This window comes from Homo sapiens, chromosome 6, assembly GCF_000001405.40.
Source record: "Homo sapiens chromosome 6, GRCh38.p14 Primary Assembly".
In the NCBI taxonomy this organism is placed as follows: Eukaryota; Metazoa; Chordata; class Mammalia; order Primates; family Hominidae; genus Homo; species Homo sapiens.
This window is the reverse complement of record NC_000006.12, coordinates 161,227,394-161,250,067: the sequence shown is the minus strand read 5'-3', so window position 1 is coordinate 161,250,067 and position 22,674 is coordinate 161,227,394. Positions and strand designations below refer to the sequence as shown.

Here is a 22,674-nt window from a genome sequence, read left to right as displayed (position 1 = left end):
AATGGCCCCCAGCTCCATCCATGTTGCTGCAAAGGCCATGATCTCATTTTTTATAGTTGCATAATATTCCACAGTATATATGTACCACATTTCCTTTATCCAGTCTACTATTGATGGGCATTGAGGTTGATTTCATGTCTTTGCTATTGTGAATAGCTGCAATAGTGAATAGCTGTGAATAGCTGCAGTAGTACTGCAATGAACATAAGCGTGCATGTGTCTTTATGATAGAACGATTTATATTCCTTTGGGTGTATAACCAGTAATGGGATTGCTGGGTCGAATGATATTTCTGTTTTTAGGTCTTTGAGGAATTGCGACACTGTTTTCCACAATGGTTGAACTAACTTACACTCCCACCAATGGTGTATGTGTTCCTTTTTCTCTGCAACCTCACCAGCATGTGTTATTTTTTGACTTTTAAATAATAGCCATTCTGACTGGTGTGAGATGCTATCTCACTGTGTTTTTGATTTGCATTTCTCTAATGATCATGATGTTGAGCTTTTTTTCATGTGTTTGCTGGCCTCATGTATGTCTTCTGAAAAGTGTCTGTTCATGTCCTTTGCCCACTTTTTAATGGGGTTGTGTGTTTTTTCTCGTAAATTTATTTAAGTTCCTTATGGATGCTGGATTTTAGGCCTTTGTCAGATGCATAGTTTGCAAATATATCATCCCATTCTGTAGGTTGTCTGTTCACTTAGTTGATAGTTTCCTTTGCTGTGTAGAAGCTCTTTAGTTTAATTACATCCCATTTGTCAATTTTTGCTTTTGTTGCAATTGCTTTGGTGTGTTCGTCATGAAATCTTTGCCCATTCCTATGTCCAGAATGGTATTGCTTAGGTCATCTTCCAGGGTTTTTATAGTTTTGGATTTTACACTTAAGTCTTTAGTCCATCTTGGGTTAATTTTTGTATATGGCATAAGGAAGGTGTCCAGTTTCAATCTTCTGCATATAGCTAGCCAGTTATCCCAGCACTGTTTATTGAATAGGGAGTCCTTTCCCCATTGCTTGTTTTTGTCAGCTTTGTTGAAGATAAGATAGTTGTAGGTGTGTGGCCTTATTTCTGGGCTCTCTATTCTGTTCCATTGGTCTATGTGTCTGTTTTTGTTCAGTACCATGCCCATTTGGTTACTGTAGCCCTGTAGTATAGTTTGAAATCAGATAGTGTGATGCCTCCAGCTTTGTTCTTTTTGCTTAGGCTATTCAGGCTCTTTTTTGGTTCCATATGAATTTTAAAATAGTTTTTTCTATTAATAGTACTGTGAAGAATGTCATTGGTAGTTTAATAGGAATAGCATTGAATCTGTAAATTACTTTGGGCAGTATGCACACTTTAACGATATTGATTCTTCCTATCCACGAGTATGGAATATTTCTTCATTCGTTGTGTCATCTCTGATTTCTTTGAGCAGTGTTTTGTAGTTCTCCTTGTAGCGATCTTTCACTTCCCTGGTTAGCTGTATTCCTAGTTTTTTTTTTTTTTTTTTTTTTTGAGACAGAGTCTCGCTGTCACCCAGGCTGGAGTGCAGTGGCACGATCTTGGCTCACTGCAAGCTCCACCTCCCAGGTTCACTCTATTCTCCTGCCTCAGCCTCACGAGGAGCTGGGACTACAGGGGCCCACCACCATGCCCGGCTAATTTTTTGTATTTTTAGTGGAGACGGAGTTTCACTGTGTTAGCCAGTATGGTCTCGATCTCCTGACCTCATGATCCGCCCGTCTCGGCCTCCCAAAGTGCTGGGATTACAGGCGTGAGCCACCGCGCCCAGCCAGTATTTTATTCTTTTTTGTGGCAGTTGTGAATAGGAGTTTGTTGCTGATTTTGTTCTTGGCTTGTCTATTGTTGGTGTATAGGAATGCTACTGAATTTTGTTCATTGATTTTGTGTCCTGAGACTTTGCTGAAGTTGTTTATCAGCTTGAGGAGCTTTTGGGCTGAGACTGGGGTTTTCTAGCTGTAGGATCCTGTCATCTACAAACAGGGATAGTTTGACTTCCACTCTTCCTATTTGGATGCCCTTTATTTCTTTCTCTTGCCTAATTGCTGTGGCCAGGACTTTTTTTTTTTTTTTTTTTTTTTTTTGAGACAGAGTCTTACTCTGTTGCCCAGGCTGGAGTGCAATGGAACAATCTCAGCTCTCTGCAACCTCCGCCTCCTGGATTCAAGCGATTGTCCTGCCTCAGCCTTCTGAGTAGCTGGGATTACAGACATGTGCCACCACACCTGACTAATTTTTGTATTTTAGTAGAGATGGGGTTTCACCATGTTGTTCAGGCTGGTCTCGAACTCCTGACCTCAAGTGATTCACCTACCTCAGCCTCCCAAAATCTGTGATTACAGGTGTAAGCCACCATGGCCTGGCCAGGACTTCTAATACTATGTTGAATAGGCGTGGTGAGAGAGGGCATCCTTGTTTTGTGCCAGTTTTCAGGGGGAATGCTTCCGGCTTTTGCCCATTCAGTATGATGTGTTGGCTGTGGGTTTGTCATAGATGGCTCTTATTATTTTAAGGAACGTTCCTTCAATACTTACTTTATTGAGAGTTTTTAACATGAAGGAGTTCAACTACTATATATTTAAAAATAAAAAAAGCCTCTGAAATGGTTTTATCTAGCAAAGGGGAGGGGAAAGCTTTATGCATTCGCCAAAGAATAGAAGAAAACAAATCAAAATGTTGTCAATAGCTGTTCTAGGTGGTAAAATGTCTGCATTTTAGAATTGTATGCATTTTGTATAATGAATTACTGTTATAATGGAGTGACTTTACCTTTCAAGAAATTCCTGGCTTTGCCTAAGTGATTTACACGGCTAGTATAATTTCCTTTAGTTTCACTGGATTTGTGTTTTAACAGAAGATTCTTTGTTTTAAAAAAAGTCACCTCTGTGTTCCTCAACCGACATCTGAGTTCCTCCTCTACAGGGGATTCCGCAGGTAATTTGCTTTTATTTGAGTAATTTCATGTCAGTTTAACATATAGCCTCATGCAGTTTCAGTGCTGGTAGGAAGAGGACTCAACTTGGCTGCTTACAGCATGTAAAGGTATGGAGAGCAATCTTGTGGGTTCATCTGCGTGGATTTTGCAGGGAGAATAACTTGGTGTGTCATCTGCCCTGTGTTTAATGTTAATGGGAAAGAAGCCCAGGACTTTATCAGTTTATGCTCTTACTTTTGCTTTGTCTTTGACAGTTCAGTGTTACCACTATGAAAATTAAATTATGTTAGGTCATCTAGAGACTCAGATGGAATCAGTATTTATTGAGCATCTGTTCTGTAAGAAGTGGAAGGGGTGGAAGTCATCCCGGCCCAGGGTATATTACTCAGTAAGTGCTTTAGTTTATTGGGCATGGTACTTACCACTTAAAACCTAGCAAGGGGCTCTGTAAGAATCCCCTGTGCTAGGCTGGGTGCGGTGGATCACCTGAGATTGGGAGTTCGAGACCAGCCTGACCAACATGGAGAAACCCCATCTAGACTAAAAATACAAAATTAGCTGGGCGTGGTGGCGCATGCCTGTAATCCCAGCTACTCGGGAGGCTGAGGCAGGAGAATCGCTTGAACTTGAGAGGCGGAGGTTGCAGTGAGCTGAGATCACTCCATTGCACTCCAGCCTGGGCAACAAGAGTGAAACTCTGTCTCAAAAAAAAAAAAGAATCCCCTGTGCCTATGCTCAGAAGTCTAATGCAATGTTAGTATATAGTAGAACTTAAATATGAATCAATGAATTTTTAGCTGAATGAATGAACGGGTAGCTCCTTGGATGGGAACCTAATGAATGAATATACTTCTCAGTGGACGAATGAATGTATGCGTGAATTAAACAACTCTGTCCTGGATTCTGCTTAAAAGTTGGAAAGAACCTCATCACTTCTCCAAGCATCTTTTGCTCTGAGCTTGATGACTGAAGTAAGAAGAGAGAGAAGGCCCTGACACATGTTTGATCACTGCTGCTGCTAATGAAACTTTTCGAGGAATAGCCAGTCTGTAATGCCCTCAAAGGCATCCTTCATATCCAAGTACTTCAGTATTCTTGTGGCCATTTTTCAGAGCTATCTAGAAACAAGGATACTGCATGTCAACTTAGTTTGGGCACTCGAAGCCAGCAATTCTGTCTTCAATAAATGATTCATGTCAGAAAAGCATTTAAGTGCATTTGTTTTCTAATAAGTCTCTCTTCAGGTCCATTATGCATGAATCAAACTGGGGAAGTTGCCTGGGTTCATTTGGCATCCTTTATGAAAATCAAAGAAATGAGAGATTTAAAATCCAGCCATATTGATTCTCCCGCCTTCCTCGCACTCCTTACCAGAAACTAGGATTGGCAATGACAGGATCTCCAAGAACTCAAGGATTGAGGGCACTTCACGGACAGTGAGTAGGAGAGGGAGGGGCCTACCAAAGAGAAAAGAGCCCAGTTTCTGGTATCTGAGATGCAGAAGAAAATGAACGGCCACTTGCTTGTGTCCCCCTAAACTGCTCCCCTGAGCAGCCCCTCGCTGAACCACCCCACAAAAAGTAAGCTCCTGTGGCCACTATAGAGGCAGCAGAGTGCTTCCTCTGAGCTCTACTCCTGGCGATCCCTCTAGGGTGCTTAATGCCACGTTAGTTTCCATGAATCAGAAGCACTGTGGTTAAAGGCACGTGCACAAGTGGCCCCATTTCCCATTTTCCAGAACCATAAAACTGGGACTGATATCCAATGCCTAAGCATCTGCCCTGCAGAAGGCTTCCACATCCATCACCTCCTGAAGTCTCCCATCACCCCTGTGGGGCCGGCGTGTATGTCAGTACGTCCTGTTGACAAAGGAGGAAGCTGAGCATGGCAGAGGTGACGTGACCAAAGGGATGAGGATCAACGATCAAGAATCACACTCAGGTCCCCTGACTCTAAATACTGGCTACCTCCCCTGCTGCATTTATTTATTCCACCATGAATAGAGTCGCAATTTCTCGATTCCCAAGGAGGTTTCTACCCTGGTTGGCATAGGCCACTGCAAAATAAGTTGCCAGTTGGTGCACGGCTTGCTAGTAGGCATGTGTGCGAAATTAAGTTAGCATTTGCAGGAGAGTTCTCATGCCCACGTGTTTTGCTACGTGGCCTTTGGCTCTGGTTGCTATCACTTCGCATCTCCTTGGTTTTCTGAGATAGCCTGTCTCTGACACTGGGACTCCCCAGGCCTGGGGTTTTGGCCCATCTGTCTGTGGTTGGTGACCTTCACTGATTAGGAGCTTTGCTCAGGGGGCCAAAGACAGTGTTTCATCCTAGGCTAAGTGGTGGAAGGCATCACTCTTACTGGATCAGTTGACCCAGGCAGAGTAGGTGGGCTAGGCCAGACCAAAGGGAGAGATGTGTGCACCCTTGTCGGCTTTACTGGATCGGAGATGTCAGAGAATGCAGTTCGCTATCTCTGTTTGGTGGTTCAGTATTATTATCCTCATGGTTTCCTGGCCTGTCTGCTCACACAGCATCAAAATGTGAGTTTGTTTAGCCATAATGGAGCCAGCTTAAAGGTTGTAGAGTGCTGAAATACTGAAAAGATTACGCTTGTAACCCTTTCCCCAATGGTTATTAAACATGAAAATACTAAATGATGAAATAAGCTTAAGGAAACTGCCAACATTTTAAATTTCGCCATAAACCTTAACTTTAAAGGCTTTTTATTATTTGTTTTTGTCGTATTTTGAAATATTAAAGATCAGATTTTATTAAAAAGTCTTCTTTGGTGCCATGATTTGCTGGTGATGTAGGAACGTGCTGTCTGCGTTGGTGTCAGCCCCATCCTCACCCCTGCCCGGAAGACTTCCTGCTTCTTTGCGGGAGGCAGACGGCACTGTGACCTACCTGTTCTTTGCGTCTTCTGTATTTGTTAGAATTGTGTCGTCAGCTCCTCGCTGTATGTCTGTTTGAGATCAGGAAAACACAGGTACATTCAGAGAGCACCAAAGTGATGAGGGTCTTGGTCTTCTCAATACCAGTTTTTATTTCCCTTCCACAAGGTGGAAACAAGGCCTACATCGAGTATTCAACTCATTTCTTCAATGAGATTTATGTAGGGAATTGACAGTTAACTTGTTATTAGGAAGAGAGCCTCAAAACCAATGACTTTGAACTGCCTTCCTCTGGGCTGGGAATAAGGACATAATCATTTCATTAAAACTTGTGAGTGGGCTTTGAGGATCTTAGGAGTCACTTCAGCTCAGGGTCACCCTGGAGATGAGTGGTTGTCAGGCTAAAAATGTCCACCTGAGGAAAATCTTATTGAAATAAACAAACAGATAATGAGAGCCACAGTGGAGAAGTGAGTAAGAAAAGCTGGTGATGGTTGGGGGCCAGGGAGAAGGGGTCAAGGGAAGGAGGAGACCGGTCAGCCCGGGAGAGAGGCAGGGGCTTCGACTGAGGGTTCTTCCTGCAGCTGTTGTGCTGTTTCTCTGCCTTCCTGTGTGTAATTGTTACAGCACGGTGGGAGGCAGGGAATTTCACCTCCATTAGCAGATACAGACCCGGAGGCTCAGAGAGCATAAGCTACTGACCCAAGATTGCACAGCTAGGAAACAGCGCCTCTCCTGCAGGCTCTGGGCACACAGCCTTGTGGTGGGCCAAGTGCGCAGGATGGCCGAGGCTCTGACGTGAGCTGCCAGTCCTGACCACGTTGCCTTGGTGACGGTGGGGGTAGAGTGGGAGGTGGTTTAGGTGCTGAATAAAGCTCTCTCTTTTTGTTTTTAGTGCCGGCTGGGGATGCCAGCCACCTCACGCCTGCTTCTGCCGGCCCAGGGCCGGGTCTTGGGCCATTTCCCTACTTTGGTAACCCCAAGGGGAGAGCTGCCCCTTCACTGTCCCCAGCTCCCATGTCGTTCCAGCCCTCACAGGCTTAGTATTGAGCTGACAGCCACAGCCACGTAGCAGCAATGACGATGATGAAATCGACAATTTCAACATGCATTCTGCCTTCTTTCCATGTTTGAAAAAGTTTCATTTTTTTTTAAATTAAAAAAAAATTTTTTTGAGACAGAGTCTGGCTCTGTCGCCCAAGCTGGAGTGCAGTGGCGCAATCTCCACTCACTGCAACCTCCACCTCCTGGGTTCAATCAATTCTCCTGCTTCAGTCTCCCGAGTAGCTGGGAGGCACGTGCCACCACGCCCGGCTAATTTTTGTGTTCTTAGTAGAGACGGGGTTTCACTATGTTGGCCAGGCTGGCCTCGATCTCCTGACCTCAGGTGAGCCACCCACCCCCTCCCAAAGTGCTGGGATGACAGGTGTGAGCCGCTGCGCCCGGCCTAGGTTTCCTTATTAACCAGAATATAATGTTGTGGACGTTTCCCCTGTTTGGAAGATTAATTTTTTTCATTTCTGTTTGGATTTATCATATTGGATTTTTCATCAGGAGTTGATAAAATTTTTTGGAGACTTCACAGACTGAGCATAATTTTAAAATATGCCTCTGCTGAGCATTGTTTAAAATAGCTCATACACCCTCGGTTGTTGGAAATGCATCTAGCCAGCTGGCACCCTCAGAATGTGTACCTACTCTGAGGTCTGCACCCTCCAGCCCCATGAGGCTGCGGGCGAGCTGGATGGGGTTTGGAGGATGTGGCCTTCTACTTGGAGAAAAGGTGCCACTGAGGCTCCCCAGGACTGACTGTGAAAGGGAAGTCGCTTAAATACTCATGAGCACCCCAACAGTCAGAAACAAGACCATGGACTGAAATCCCAGGCGTCCCGGAAGGCTGAAGTTCATGAAGTCTATCATGTTGGGCTTCTTGTCTTATAGGCAGCATTAAGAGCGTGAGACTGGTTAAAAGCGTGAGACTGGCCCAGGCCGGGCCCCCACAGTTACTCACCATTAGCCCTTTACACTTCACCTCCTCTAACTAAACCTCGGTTTTCGCATCTATAATGTGAGAATGGCAATACCTTTCATAGTGGGTTTTTGTGAGAACTAATGGGATAATATATGCTAAACATTTTTTATACTGATGCTGCTGCACTGGTTATGATTCAGAAGCCCTATGATGTTTAACTGTAAACATTTTTGGCCAGGTGCTGTGGCTCACGCCTGTAATCCCAGCACTTTGGAAGGCTGAGGCAGGCGGATCACTTGAGATCAGGAGTTCGAGACCAGCCTGGCCAACATGGTGAAGCCCCATCTCTACCAAAATTACAAAAATTATTCGAGCGTGATAGTGCATGCCTGTAGTCCCAGCTACTCTGGAGGCTGAGGCAGGAGAATTGCTTGAACCCAGGAGGCGGAGGTTGCAGTGAGCCGAGATTGTGCCACTGCACTCCAGCCTGGGCAACAGAGGGAGACTCCATCTCAAAAACAAACAAAAACAAAAACATTTTCATCTCATAGCAATTAAAGCTACGGAAAGCCTTAGAGAACACTTAATTTCCTTCTGCCTTACTTCTCATGACAGAATAAGTTACCAAGGTTTTCCATCTGTGTTTGCTTCTGAGTCTAGCTTTCTGTGGACTAGGTATAAAAGCTCTTGCCAATTTGTTTTTCTCTCACAAGCTACTCAGAACCAACTATTAAATATGAACTTAGAAGCATCACTTTTCCATAGACCTGACTTTTTATCATGCAAGAGTGGGGCTTTGAAGAGGGACTAAAGGTTAGTTATTAGAGGACATAGTGAAAAAGTTAAGTATGATTTATGGTTTCTTCAGAGTTTGGTTTGTTTTAACAGACATCATGTACTGGACAAAGGACTGTTCTATGAAATTTTAAAATACATGAATTTTGTATAGGCTTCTGCCATACCATTAGATGATGATAATTTTTTTTTTTTTTTTTTTTTTTGAGACAGAGTTTTGCTCTTGTTGCCTAGGCTGGAGTGCAATGGCGCGATCTTGGGTCACTGCAACCTCCACCTCCTGGGTTCAAGCATTTCTCCTGCCTCAGCCTCCCAAGTAGCTGGGATTACAGGTGCCTGCCACCACGCCCAGCTAAATTTTGTATTTTTAGTAGAGATGGGGGTTTCACCATGTTGGCCAGGCTGTCTCGAACTCCTGACCTCATGATCCACCCACCTCGGCTTCCCAAAGTGCTGGGATTACAGGTGTGAGCCGCTGCACCTGGCCGATGATGATTATTTTTTAATTGAGGACTATGTTACTTAGAGCTCGTCCCAAAGACAGTTAAATCCAGTCTAGAATACTTTCTCTCCTGTTTGGTTGTAGGAATTAGGCCAACTGAACTCTAAGGGAGCCAAAACTGAACCCAGCCTTGTCTGCCAGGAGTGAGAACAGAGCACGTTCCTCAGACCTGTACAAGTTAGTTGCCGCCCTGGTGGAGACTTTGGCCACATTCATCCGACCTGAAGGAGTGCTGGCAATCTGAATGTAGTGTGTGCTGGACACCAGCTCCCTCCTTTCTCCTGGGACTGTATCCACTCCCCTCTCCTCTGTGGGCACCGCAGTACCTGGGGATTCTGTGTCCTGGAGACCGAAATATTGGTTCAGAAACAATCTGCCAGCTGTCCCCACTTTAGCTGTGCTGCTCTCTTTGCCAGTCCCTGAAGTTTTTATTTTCTTTTATTTGTCTGGTTAACCTGGGCCACTTGGGAATCTTCTCTGTAGATGGGAGTTGGGGAAGAGTGGCAGAGCTGGATCGCTTAATCACTGTTCAGGAAGAGTGCAGTGGCATAGAGGAAAAAGCTTGCCTTGGGAGGGCAGCCGTGTGTTTGACTTGGAAGGGATCTTGGAGTGCACCTTGTCAGTTTCTTCCTAAGGATAAAGATGCTGAAGCTGTAGTCTTGAACCCAGCCCAGGCTTCCAGGTGGACAGACTTGTTTAAGTGTGTGTGTGTGTGTGTGTGTGTGTGTGTGTGTGTGTGTGTGTGTATACACAAAGATATCTGCTGTTAGTGTTTTGGTAAGGCTTTCTTTTCTTCCGGTTTTTTTTTTAGAGTTGTGATTATTTTCTCCACATGATTTTGTATCCTGTCACTTAATATCATAATGAAAATGTATCCATTTTACTGCAAACCTATTTTAGTGACACTTCACCTATTCCATTTGGTGGGTCTTCCATAATTCAGTTTTTTGTTTCCTTATGTCAGAAATACAAATTGTTTCTAATTTTTGGCATTGGAAACAGTAGTGGTTGAATATCTTTATACATAGGGAATTTTCTGAAAGTTAATTTTGTCCTTAAGATAGCCAGAAATTGGTTTACTATTAAGTGGTATGAAGCTGTTTAAGGCCCTAATATGTGTGTGAAATTGCTTACTAAAAAGATGGATTTGTACTCACACTGAGGCTAGGGGTCCCATTCTACCTCATCTCTGTAGAATGGAGTATTATCATTAAAAACAAAAAGCCTAGTTTGGAATGTAAAAAGTAGTATAAAATAATTTGCATTCATTTCTTTGATCTCTTTTTGTATGTTCTGGATTTTGAGGTCAAAAGAGCTTCAATAAGATGTTTAGATTTTAATGACAATGCTAAAGTGGGCAGGAGCATTATTTCAGCAATTCTTCTTGGACTGATTTCTTTGGAAGAAAGGAAGTTTTGCCTTTTCTACAACCCTGACCTGGTTGAGTGCTGCAATGTGAATCTATATTAAAAACAAACAAATAAATACCTTTTAAATCCAGCTAGTGGCGGAGTTAATCCCATTTCAGGTTTAGCCTGTCTTCCTGAGTATGACTGAAGTTCATGCTTATTTAATAGTTTCAGAATTTTGAATAAGACAGAATATGAAGTCTTAACTAAGGATATCTTGTTGCCTAATTTAATGCATTAAACTGACAGCTCTCTGTATAGAGAAGGATGCGGTTTGGATTCTTTCATGGGGAAATTCTGAGTTTTCTTTCATTTGCTTATGTTTTCACCAACATAGGCTGGGCAGCATATGGTACCATCTGCCTTACACCGTACATAACTCACTTCAGCAGTCCCATCGACCAAACGCTGTGCTGGAGTGTGTATGCCTGGCTGTCTGTGTCTGTAGAACTTCATGGTAGAAATGGTACCTGAGAAATTCAGTGCTAGAGTGAGAGCGTTTGTCTCGCTTGCACTTTAACATATTCTTATGTGTATTAATTAGTCTATTCTCACACAGCTAATAAAGACATACTCGAGACTGGGTAATTTATAAAGGAAAGAGGTTTAATTGACTCACAGTTCTGCAGGGCTGGAGAGGCCTCAGGAAACTTACAATCATGGCAGAAGGGGAAGCAAACGCAACCTTCTTCACATGCTGACAGGAAGGAGAAGCACCAAGCAAAAGGGTGAAAAGCCCCTTATGAAACCATCAGATCTTATGAGAACTCACGATCACAAGAACAGCATCAGGGTAACCACTCCCATGATTCAGTTACCTCCCACTGGTTCCCTCCCACGACATGTGGAGATTATGGGAACTACAATTCAAGGTAAGATTTGGGTGGAGACACAGCCAAACCCTATCACCTCATCTCCATCCCACGCTTTGGGAAGATTACATAGTTAAGGAAGGTAAAGTACACGTGAGTGCTTGTGACTGCATTATTTCCCATTTCTGAGTCACTAGCAGAAAAGTATAGGTTAGAATGAAAACATATGGGGGAGGATGCTTTAACACATTACAGGTAAATTAAAGACAATGTCTTGATCTAGATAGGTAGAGAAGGAAAACTGAGTTGACGACCATCTCATTGGCTTTCCCAGGAGAGACGAAGTCATCTGTCTTAGCTGCTCCTTCTTTGCCTTCTTGCAAATGATAGAAAAATCCCCCATTACTTGGGGTTTTCCCCGTTCCAGGCATCCTGGCAAGTGTTTCCAATGCTTTACTATACTTGCTCCTTGCAGCCACCTCATGCTGAAGTTATTGCTCTGATTTTACACACGAGGAAAGTGAGGGCCAAGTAAGTTAATCAACTTCCATAGCTGTAAAGTGGCCAGGCCTGGATTTGTAGCCAGACTGCCTGACTCTCAGTGCCCTCTCCACAGCGGAAGCTCCAACAACTATGCTGCATTCTGCCTCCCGCCCCCCAACCCCCCCATTACCCCCCCACCCCCAGCCCCCCAACACACAGCAGTGCTTGGCTTCCAGGTGGTCTCGCGTTGCCTGCACATTTCAGAATTTCTCTTGTCTGGTGCTTTGGTTGATCACCTTTCTGCTGACTTTAATAGAGCATGCCAACCCTGTGGTCCCTCCTCAAGTTAGCAAGCAGTGTAAACTTTCTCCCTCAGAGACTTGCAGGCATCTCACTTTTGTGGCATATGCCCATCATCTGCCCACACCTAACCTTCACGGGGGCTGGGAAATGGAGTCTGTCCAGTTCTGTGCTCAGAATGGGGTGGATTTCATTCTCGTCGTAAAAAAGGATGATAAAACACAGAGAAGAAAAGGAGATCAGCCATAATCCTTCTGCCAACATTTAGCCACTAATAATAGATAGTTATAGATATAGTAATAGATTTAGGTATGAATGACATATATGCACACATTATTATTTTACAGTTAAGAATTATACTTCTTTGTGAACTTTTCCCACTCAGTGTATTCTAATATTCTCTAAAGGTCTATACTGGCTGACTTAACCCCTTTGGTACACTGTTGGCTTATAGTCAACATCCCCTATGTATTTAACCCCCTTTGTCTCTCCCATCCTTATACGAATGACTCAGTTTTTACATCCAAGTGGTGCTGAAGGAGACTTCTTCTGGTATTCAGTAAGAAACCTTGCTAATGTTAATGATGGTTACCTACTTTCTCAAATAGCCATGAATTCCTTTCACACAGACTCATAGCCAACACTTTTTCAGTATGTGCCCTTGAGGACTGCCAGAGACTTTGCCAAATGATTGGCTAAATTCAATATCTACTAATCTACCAGTGGCCTGGGAAATAAAGGTAATTTGGATTAGATTATGTCTCCTTGAACCTGTTGTGATTCCTAGTGACAACTGCTTTTTGTCTATGTTTTAAACGCTGGTGCAGTCATTTTCAGGTGATGCATATTGAGCTCATGGGTCAGATGCGGCCTTCTGGAAAATTCCAATAATGTATCCGGATATGGTTTCCTGGCATTTTTCCTATTCTGTATGATTTAAAAATGTCTTTGTGTTTCCGCGATCCCTTTTGCATGTTGCCTTAGTTCACTAGGTTGTGGTTTGTCTGGGACTCATTATCTGGAGAGAAGCCTCCCCCTGCCTTTTATTTATTTATTTTGTTTGAGATGGAGTCTCACTCTGTCGCCCAGGCTGGAGTGCAGTGGCACAATCTCGGCTCACTGCAACCTCTGCCTCCCAGGTTTAAGTGATTCGCCTGCCTCAGCCTCCCGAGTAGCTGGGATTACAGACACCCACCACCACATCCAGCTATTTTTTTTTTTTTGTATTTTTAGTGGAGATGGGGTTTCACCAGGCTGGTTTCGAACTCCTGACCTCAAGTGATCCACCTACCTGGGCCTCCCAAAGTGCTAGGATTACAGGTGTGAGCCACTGCTCCCGGCCTCCCCTTTCCTTTTACTGCTTTAAGCCCTCATCGGGTCACTTGTCTGCCCCCAGAGGTAACCGTGCCAGCCTCTGTGGCCAGATTTCTTTGTGTGAACCTGTTGAAAGAGAATTCCCAGTAGAATTTGGCCTCCTGCACTCCCATCCCTAGGGTGTCTCAAGGTCATGGGGTGAATTTCAGGAAAAAGTAAAGGTTAAACGCTGCTTCTGAGCTCACTGATGGGAAAACACCTGCTGTTTCATTTCATGAGTACCAAAACCCAGAAAAAGGCAATACATCATCTTTACTTTGTCAAGCACACGAGTTCATCATTTTTGGCCTTGATAGTAAGAAACATCTTTTTTTTTTTCGCAGAAATATGGCATAGCAGCAGCTTCCTAGTTCTCTGTTGATTTAGAAACTCTGTAAGTAGCGCTCTGATATGCTCAGAAACAGCATAAGTTCTTTGTCATATTCTTGCCTCATGTAATAAGCCACTGAAGTGGATTTGCTGGAAAGACTCTTTCCGTCACATTCTAGGTACTTGCAAAGCTAAAAGGGAACTAGGCAAAGTATTTTTAAAATGTTTCTCTCCAGCTATTTTCATCGCTGGCCAGATATTTATACCATCTTTCCTCGGCATGACATGAAATTGGCTAATTGCCACGTTAGAAGAGAAAGTGCTGTTTTATTCAAGATGGGAAAGAAGCTGATATGGTTTGTATCTGTGTCCCTGCCCAAGTCTCACGTTGAATTTGTAATCCCCAGCACTGGAGGTGGGACCTGGTGGGAGCTGATTGGATCACGGGGGCGGAGTTCTCATGAATGGTTTAGCACTGTACCCCCTTGGTACCGTATAATGAGTGAGTTCTCTTGAGATTTGGTTGTTTAAAAGTGTGTGGCACCTCCCCCTTCTCTCTCTCTCGCTCTTCCTCCTGCCTTGTAAGATGCCCGCTCCCCCTTTGCCTTCCGCCATGAGTAAAAGCTTCCTGAGGCCTCCCCAGAATCAGAAGCCACTGTGCTTTCTGTACAGCCTGCAGAACCATGAGCCAATTAAACCTCTTTTCTTTATAAATTGTCCAGTCTCAGGTATTTCTTTATAGCAGTGCGAGAATGGACTAATCCAGATGGGTCCCCAAAACGTCTATCTGGAATGAACTTAAGACGTATGTCACACATTTGTCCTCCAGACACACCCCTACATAATTCAGCCACGTTTCTTTTAATCATCAGCCCTCATTCTAAAGTCAGTTAAATTATTTAACAACTCGAGCACTTCTCACCTTCTTCTTCAGAGGATGCCTTGACTATTCTTATTTTGGCGTTTGCATATAAATTTGAGAATCCGCCTAAGTTTCACGAAATTAAAAAGCAATAGCCTCCCTGGGATTTTGATTAGAATCTGTTGTCCCTTTTTACTGATAGAAAAACTGAGGTGCAGAATAGTTAATGTGCCCAAAATAGGGTACCAATACACAACTAATAAGAGACAGGGCAGAGCTGCAAACTTGGGCAGTTGAACTCTCAAGCCCACATGCAACCACCCCACACCAGGCTAGGAAATGGGCCTTGAGGACAGAAGTGGAGCTGAAACTCAAGACCCAAAACAAACCAAGCCTTGTCTGATTTCTCTTTAGGCTCATCTGCTTGGGGTTCCTCTTTACACTTCACCAATGCTATCTGAGACCCTGGTTCATGCATTGCTAGTGAGGGTTTTACGCACGGTAAAATTTCAATTTACCTTGAAATTTTATAAGGAAAAAAGAATTCTTAATTTTTCTTCCTAATGCCCTAATATTGAACTGGACACTGAAGAAGGCAGCATTTAACCCCCTGCATTTCCGATGTCAGCTGGCTTCCTTTTCTTAGTGTAGAATTGGCAAAGCAAAGGATTTGTCAAGTAATTTACAAACTCTAGACCCCAGAAACCTAGTGAAAAACCGAGCTTGGCCTGGCCAGATTGTCTTGACGCTATTAGTGGCTAATCCGGGGACAATGAACAAATTGCATGAATATTCAACATCAAACTGTTACTGCTGCCAAGCTGCAAACCCATGTAAACCCCTCCTATTTATGTGGCTCCCAAAGTCAAGTGCACTGAGCGGGGGCTGCCAGCTTAACGCCTATTCCTCAGTGGGAGCCTGGGAGTGTTGAAACTCAGTAAGGAGTTTTCCAGCCTGGAAATATCTGTGGAAATGCCGTCTGCGAAAGGCCAGAGATGTGATGATTCAGACCCTGCAGGGCCTGGATTTGTGCCAGAGAGTGGAGCTTCTGGGGCCTAGAGAATGGGATGTCTCAGTGGAGCTAAGATGATTTCAGAGAAATCAGGCCGAAAGCTTCTTCCCATTTCCCTCCTATCAGAAATGTATAGGAATCTTGCAGGAATGCAGCCTGCCTTCTGGATAGTCCCAGTAAGTGCAAACATGCCTCCCTGTGACTCTCCATATGCCCGAAACCATCCTCAGAGCCAACCTGCATGACCCAGGAGTGACTGCACTCAAAGCTGTGCTGTCTTCTGCCCTTGGGGGAATTTCTGGGCTGCTCTGCCAAAGGGAGTTGTGAGCCCAAGAGACCTCCCGCCTCACATCTCAGGAGCAGAACACCCCTGACACGTGCAGGAGAAAGAGCTCGGAGTTAAAACTGAGCCCCAAGATCAGTTACCGATTGTGGCAAGCTTAGGCAAGTTGCCCAACCTCACCATTGCCTCAGTTTCTTATTCTGAAAAGTGGGATGATAAGAATACTCGTCTTGTGGGATTCATAGGAGCCTTAAAATGAGATCACATGTGTGAAACTCTTACAGATGCCCCTCAATTTATGATGGGATTACATCCCGATAAACCCATTGCGAATTGAAAATACTGTAGGTCAAAAAGGCATTGCATGCACCTCACCTACCAAACATCATCGTTTAGCCTCGCCTGCCTTAAACATGTTCAGCACATTTACGTTAGCCTACAGTTAGGCCAAATCATCTTACACAAGGCCTATTTTATAACAAAGTGCTGAATAGGCCTTGTAATTTATTGAATACTGTACTGAAAGTGAAAAACAGAAGAGTTGTATGGCCTCGAATTAAAATTTCTCTGAATGGATATTGCTTTTACACCATCGTAAAGCTGGAAATTTTCAGTGGAATCATAAGTCGAGGACCATCTGTATACAGATTGTTCATTATTAAAAAAGATTGTAACAATTTTAGGGCCTCTCAACTATTATTGTTAGAAAGTTTGTCGTAACATTAGACGTCTTCCTGGGGTAGTCTGCCAGGCTCTTCTGCTTCCAGGAAAAGCGAGTCCGCTGCTCACAGCTTTCCTTTTCATCAGAGTATTTGAAACTCCTGCCATTTTCCTCAAAGGAAAGCTTTTATTTCCCAAACTGTAAAGTCATTTCATTATTCTGTTTTGAGCTGGAGACTGATTACAGGACTGTGAGTCTAACTGTATGTATGTGTTGAGTTTCTTTCTGATTTGAGAACACTTAAGGATGTGTGTATCTGTGTGTGTGTGTGTGTGTGTGTGTGTGTGTGTGTGGTGTTTGTGTGTGTGTCTATGTGTCTCTGTGTGTGTGACCAGGGTGTGGTGGGGGTAGTTTTCTTACCTTCCTAGTTATTTGTATTTACTGATAGCCTCAAAGTTGAGCCCTCGTGTACCTTCACTAAATCATTCTACAAATATTTTTTAAAATTAAGTTCCCACCCTGTGCCAGTGATGGCTCTCATGTGCTGGAGAAACAGTGGTGGTTTTCAAGTAAATGCTTCCCTAGTCCCGGTTGCTTGAGGGGTGGCACCCACTCTGGGTATGTCCTCGTCCTTGTCCAGGGCAGGCTTGACTTTAGGGCAGTCCTGCTGGAAGCGAGGGGTGAGCAGGGATCTGGAGGAGGAGAATGAGAGGAGGGAGATGGCGTGGGGCTAGGGGTGAGAGAATGGGGCTCAGGCCGCGATGGCAGCAGGAGGGGAGGCCGGATTTGCGGCCTGTCCTGTGGGCAGCCGTCACTCAAGTGGGACCCAGGGCTCCGTGGCTGGCTCAGCTGCTGCCCAGCTGGGGAGCGGTGAACCCTGGCCGAGTGGCTCCACCTTCCAGGACTCAGTTTCCTCATCTGAAATCAAAGTACCAACCTCAGAGGATATTGGGAGAATTAAAGGAAGGATTATTGTTAAAGGGCTTAGACTATGCTCGACAGGAAGTAAGCACTACATCAATGTTTGCAAAATAAAGATAAATCAACTAACGCACATGAGTTTAACCTCAAGTGTATATTTTTCTTTTCAGAGCACTTTTTTTCTGACTCTAAAAGCACATCGTGTTTTTGCTAACATTTCCTATTTGTTTGTGTTTTAGACGCCTTCCTGAGTCCTGGATCTTTCTTCCTTCTGGAAATCTTTGACTGTGGGTAGTTATTTATTTCTGAATAAGAGCGTCCACGCATCATGGACCTCGCGGGACTGCTGAAGTCTCAGTTCCTGTGCCACCTGGTCTTCTGCTACGTCTTTATTGCCTCAGGGCTAATCATCAACACCATTCAGCTCTTCACTCTCCTCCTCTGGCCCATTAACAAGCAGCTCTTCCGGAAGATCAACTGCAGACTGTCCTATTGCATCTCAAGCCGTAAGATACTTAAGATTCTATATTTTCGTCTCCATTGTGGATGTGTGTATCAGAATTATGGCTCTTGATATGGATTCACTAGGCTTTCGTTGTGTGCCGAGCTGTTTTTTTGTTTTGTTTTTGTTTTAGGTTTGAAATGGCTATTTTGTTCTCAATCCCCCAAAATTATTTTTTGAATGAATAATGCCAGTAGCTCAAAATTCAACAGCCACAGACAGGTATACTATGAAAAGTAAATACGCATTCCATTAGTTTCTTTAGTTCTCCTCAGAACCAATCAGTATTAATGATTTCTTAGTTATCCTTACAGAAATAGTATACATATAGCTCTTATACTTGTAAATGCATGTGCGTCTTTCTGTGTATATATCTATATAGATACATATACATACGTATTTTTTTTTAAAAAACTAAGTGGCAGTATACTATATTGTTTTCTTCCTTGCCTTTTTTCTTCAGCTTTTTATTTTGAGATAATAGATTCACATGAAGCTGTAACAAATAATACTGAGAAATTCTGTACACTCCTTGGCCAGTTTCTCCCTATGGTAGCATCTTGCACCACTGGAATAGCATATTCCAATGAGAAAATTGACATTGATACAATCCACAACCCTACTCCTATTTCTCCACTTTTAAGTACACTCATTTGTGTGTGTGTATGTGTCCGTGTATGTTTGATTATGCTAGGTTATTTCATACATGACTAATTTGACTGGCCTGAGTTTCAACAATTAAAAAGATGAGTGAGTGTATTGGGACATCCAGAAATGCATTTTGCTATTGATATTGATTAGCCTTAAGCCTATACCTATTCTTAAAAGTAGAGAACGCAGTGTGATATTAATAATGATATATATATGTGGGTATGAATATATTTCAAAATATGTGCTTTTTAAAAATTTGTCTATTAAAAACATCAACTAAGATTATGCCAAGAGTCTAAAATTATTGATATATTTTTGATACCCTTTAAAATGATCAAATTTGAATTTGAATCAAGACAATTCAAGCTATGTATAATTATCCAAATGGATTACCACTTATCCAGTCTTATTTGTTAAACTTCAGAATACTAACTTGTAAGGAAGAAAAGTCATAGACATATCTTTATTTATGACTTTTTTCACCAACTCAGAACTTGCAAATAGGCCTGATACTATTTTGGATATAGTTTGAGTGCAAGAGCTTCCATGTCTTGTATTACAATGCTTTATAGAAATATGTCTTGAAAGTGTTCATAAGATCCTAAGATTGAGTTATAATTGTAAAACAGCAACTTTAGTCTATTTGTCTCTGGCCTGTTGGGTACAACCACCAATTCAATCCAATATGATACAATGTACTTTTCCTTGTCATAGACTTCACTCAACATTGGTCTCCAAGTATGTACCCTTCTACGGTGGTATAGAAAAAGGAAAAACTTGTCCAAACAGGGCAGAGACAGTAGGAGATGATTTGGACAGGAACTGTAGCTGTTTGAAGAGAGATAAGTTTGTGTAATCAAGGGAAAGGAGACAGTTGACTGAGATTTAAAAGATGTTTATAATTTTAAATGTCTTTTTACCCTCTAGCAGTTGGTCTCTATTTAAGCAGAATTTAAATTTAACAAAGCAATACTGATTACGCTTTTTCATTGAAACCTGCATTTATGTGACTTGCATACACCTATGGAGATTCCAAAATCTGTTAGTTTGCAGTGTGAAATCCTGTATGTTTCTACTGTCATAACCCCTACCCAAATTTCAAGTGGATGGTTACGAATTGGATTTCTCATTTGGAGTTAAGAAATAAGAAACAGGATTTGGAATCAGAGTCCACAAGAGTACTATATTTTTTTTTGATTGATGGTAAAGACTTGCTAAGTTTATGGCAGGATTGTGGAGATATTTTTCTCAGGATGCATTAGTGTATTTGTTTCTGGTGGAAATTAAGATGGGCAACAAATTCAGAAAGCAAGGCAGATTTTTATCCATCACAAATTAATTAAATTATTTAGAACAAACTCCAAATGAAACTCAAGAATTAACCATCTAAGACAACTGGCATCTCAATGCCGGGTGCAATGAAGGGTAGGTAGTCTAATGTCACTGAAGGACCTAGAAGCACCTCCATCCAGGTATACCCAGTGATGCTCTGTGCCTTCTTCCCCAGAGGAAGCACCTCCATCCAGATGCACCCCAGCAATGACCTTTGCCTATGTCCCCGGAGGAAGGCTTCCTAGGGCTTTGGGCCAAGCGATAGTGGAAGCATTTTTAAACAATCCGAAGCGGGAAGGGAAGATTCCTCCCTCTAGAGGAGGAGTCCTGGCTACTGGAAAAAGAGAATACAGTAGAAAGGGAGGGTGATGATCCTGGGTGGCTCGTGGGCACCTCATGGTGATAAGCCAGTGCAAACTATCCCCAGGTTTGAGAGAATCCTCGCCAGGATTCTCCGTTTCTGGTATCCCCATAGGTGTTAGCAGGGCTGTTCGCTTTTCCTGGTTCCTTTTCCTTGCTCTAAATAATTGACAGACTTCCTCTGTCAATTATTTCACAGTAACCAAGGCCATGTAAAAAGAGTGTTTAGGAAGCCTTGCTGGGCCACTGATCAGCCAGAGGAGGAGACAGTTTGTGGGGAATTCAGCAGCTTAACTAGCAGATGACTCTGCAGCGTCTATGCTGTAACTCTCCTCTGCTTCCCTCTGAGTTAAGATAGAAACTGTTCATGGCTTTAATTGTGTCTTCTGGTGTATGAGTCACTCTGAGCTTAGACAGTCATCAGCATTCATGATTTGCAGCTGATTTTCTAAGGAAACGGCAGAAAAAAATGTTTCCTTGAGACACGGAGCCCTTCCATCTCTGTGTTCGCTTTCCTCTAGCAGAGCTATGGCTTTGTCTCTTTTCTCATTAAATATTTGTTAAGAGCTTGGTGTGTTACCAAGTAAGTTCAAAGCAGTTACCAGCCCTGGCGTGGTAAAGCTCTCATGCAAAAGGCCATGCTGATACAAAAGACAAATAGAGACAAAACAAGCAGTAAAGACAGCTTGGCTAACAGCAGGACACACCGAGACACTGAGCAGAGAATTTTATTCTAGTGGCAGCAACCAACCTCATAAATAACAACTTGAAAGTAATGTAATCTCGATGGATGATTTTTAGAGGGTTGCTTTGTCTTATTTTTGCCTAGATTTGTAGGCAGGAAAGGCCAAGTCAGGCTGGCTTGGCATGCTGAAGGAGGAAGGGAGGATGGAGCCGGCTTCGTTAGGTAAAAAGAAGGAAGAAAGTTGGAAGAAGTGGGGTGAAGGGTAGAATTTCATTGCCTTTCCACTAAGCAGGATATGCCATTTAATCTCTAGGGAAAGGTGGCCAAGACTGGCTTTTTTTTTTTTTTTTACCTCTCTGACATTGTGGGTTTCAAAACAAAACAGAAAGATTAGGAGAATCTATTAATGTCAGGGTTAAAAAAAAAAAAAAAAAAAGGCAGGGGGTGGGAAGGATTGCCAGTGACCTAATTGTCCTGGAAAGGGCCAGTAAAATGAAATGAAACACAGTGGACACCACCACCCCACACCCCCAGCCCTGGCGCCCTGCGTCCAAATTCAGTGTTGCTGTGAACAGGCTCTATGAGCTGGAGCCTGCCACTGAATATTCCTGGACTGTGATGCTTATGGTTTTAAACGGCTGTTGGATGCACAGCTACACATCTTCCTTGAATGGGGAAGGCCACATGGTGGCAAGAAGGGAGTGAGAATTTGGAGCACCAGCCTGCAAAATTACACATCCTGCCTCCCCTGCTACAGGCTGCGTCACCTTTGGCGAGCCACAGAAACTCTCTGAGTCCAAATAACAGGGCCAATTACAATGGTTGCTTCATAATGCAGAATGAGATACTCCGTCTGAAAGTGCTTTAGAAATTCCTTAAAGCACATCAAATTTAGGATTGAAATTGGAATTTGTGTCCAGGGGAGGAGGAAGAGTCAGGGGGACCGGTGGTGGCGAGGGTGTCTTGATCTTTCTTCCCATTGGTTCATCACTTGGACAGGTAACTTCAACACACTCAGCTACATTTGAAGTAAAGGGGATGGAATAGAGTTGACCAAGATTCCAATAGTTTTCTAATAAAGGGTTTAGAATTTTTTATTTTCCTCTTGGGAAGTTGTTACTTCCTTTCACCACCCCCACCGCATCCCACACTTGATGAGTGTTTGCCGCTGTATTTGTGTAACGCTCAAAAAAGGAGAGTGAGCTCTATATTGCCTCTTACAACACTACTGCGTGTAGTGGTGAAAATGATATCTGTTTCTCGCTGGAATAATAATAAACATTTGTAACATACTTCAGGATGTGTAAGTCACTTCAGATTTGCTACTCGAGAAGGGATTTGGCAGTGGCCAGGAGGCCTGGCAGAAGTTGGTCTGCTCCTATCTGGAAGATGGGATCAGGGCCTGGTAACAGGTCAGGAACAGCGGCAGCAAGGGCTGTGCGTGCAAGAGGGTTGGGAGCTCCGAGTTGCTGGAGAAACTGCAGAGCAAGTCATGTGATTACTAGAACCTGTCTGAAATTAACGACCACGGAGAATGGGAGTCCTCAACTCTACTTTCCCGAGAGGAAGCAGATATTCCACCCAGCCGAGCCTTGGGGCAAAAAGGCAGTCAGGTCTT

The 22,674-nt window shown here is 43.3% G+C and overlaps 1 protein-coding gene across 1 annotated transcript in view; it reads left to right on the top strand.

The window, feature by feature from the left end:
* AGPAT4 (1-acylglycerol-3-phosphate O-acyltransferase 4) overlaps positions 1-22,674 on the top strand; it is a 144,095-nt gene that overhangs the window by 23,994 nt on the left and 97,427 nt on the right. Inside the window, exon 2 of the mRNA NM_020133.3 lies at positions 17,766-18,032. Within this exon, the coding sequence (NP_064518.1) occupies positions 17,855-18,032 (178 nt within the window). The 5' untranslated portion in view covers positions 17,766-17,854. The remainder of the gene's footprint in view (positions 1-17,765; positions 18,033-22,674) is intronic.